Source organism: Homo sapiens, chromosome X, assembly GCF_000001405.40.
Source record: "Homo sapiens chromosome X, GRCh38.p14 Primary Assembly".
Classification (NCBI taxonomy): domain Eukaryota; kingdom Metazoa; phylum Chordata; class Mammalia; order Primates; family Hominidae; genus Homo; species Homo sapiens.
Genome location: NC_000023.11, coordinates 109,240,186 through 109,241,409, shown reverse-complemented (window position 1 = coordinate 109,241,409; position 1,224 = coordinate 109,240,186). Strand labels below are relative to the sequence as shown.

General features: G+C 45.4%; 1 annotated feature.

Moving 5' to 3' along the window:
• Positions 279-810: an enhancer, noted in NCBI's record as "H3K27ac-H3K4me1 hESC enhancer chrX:108483829-108484360 (GRCh37/hg19 assembly coordinates)". NCBI's record gives its function as "activates a minimal SCP1, AML or CMV promoter by ChIP-STARR-seq in naive H9 embryonic stem cells {active_cell/tissue: H9 hESC(naive)}" and the evidence as "EXISTENCE:reporter gene assay evidence [ECO:0000049][PMID:30033119]".

Below are 1,224 nucleotides of genomic sequence, written 5' to 3'. Positions count from 1 at the left end.
GGTGTTGAGGGGTTAAGCCTTCTGCTAATTTCAAGGGTTGAACCTGACACAATCCCCCCCTTTCCTTTTTTCTTGGGGAAAGAGAGAGTAGCTCCACTCCCCCAGGTCCCTACCCTAGAGGAGAGAGAGAGGCAGGAGAGGAGAGAGAGAGAGGGAGAGCAGCAGAGAGAGAGTGGGAGAGAGGCAGAGAGAGAGGGAGAGAGGCAGAGAGAGAAAAGAAGAGACAGAGAAAGAGCGAGTCAAAGAGAGAGAGAGAGAAAGGCAGAGAGGGAGAGAGGCAGAGAGAGAGGGAGAGAGGCAGAGAGAGAGGGAGAGAGGCAGAGAGGGAAAAGAAGAGACAGAAAGAGGGAGTCAGAGAGAGAGAGAAAGGCAGAGAGAGAGAAAGGCAGAGGGAGAGAGAAGAGAGGCAGAGAGAGGAAGAGAAACAGAGAAAGGAAGAGAGACAGAGAGCGAGAGAAGAGAGGCAGAGAGAGGAAGAGAGGCAGAGAGAGAGATAGGAAGAGAGGCAGAGAGAGAGATAGGAAGAGACAGACAAAAAGGGAGTCAAAGAGAGAGAGAAAGTCAAAGAGAAAAAAAGATACACAAGCAGTTGAGGAAAAAAAAGTGTACCCTATTCCTTTAAAAGCCAAGGTAAATTTAGAACCTATAATTGATAATTAAAAGTCTTCTCCGTGACCCTATTAACACTCCAATACCACTTTGTTGTCAGTGTAAACAAGGGCCTAGCCCAAAAGCACTGAGGCCACGGACTACCCGTAGCCTTCCTATCAAAAATCCTTCACCCAGTAACCCGCGGATGGCCAGATGCATTCAATCTGTAGTGGCAACTGCTCTGCTAACAGAAGAAAGTAAAAAAATAACTTTTAGAGGAAGCCTCATTGTGAGCACACCTCACCAGTTGAGAACTATCCTAAGTTAAAAAGCAAAAAGGTAGCTTACTAACTCAAAAATCTTAAAGTATAGGGCTATTCTGTTAGAAAAAGATGATTGATCATTAACCACTGAAAATTCCCTTAACACAGCAGGTTTCCTAACAGGGGATTTAAATCTTAATTACCATACAAAGGTCCATCCAGACCTAGGAGGAACCCCCTTCAGGACAGGACCATAGATGATTCCTCCTGGGTGATTGAGGGCGGGGAGAAAAAGTGGCAATGGGTATTCAATAATTGATAGGGAAACTCTTGTAGAAGCAGAGTTAGGAAAATTACCTAATAACTGGTC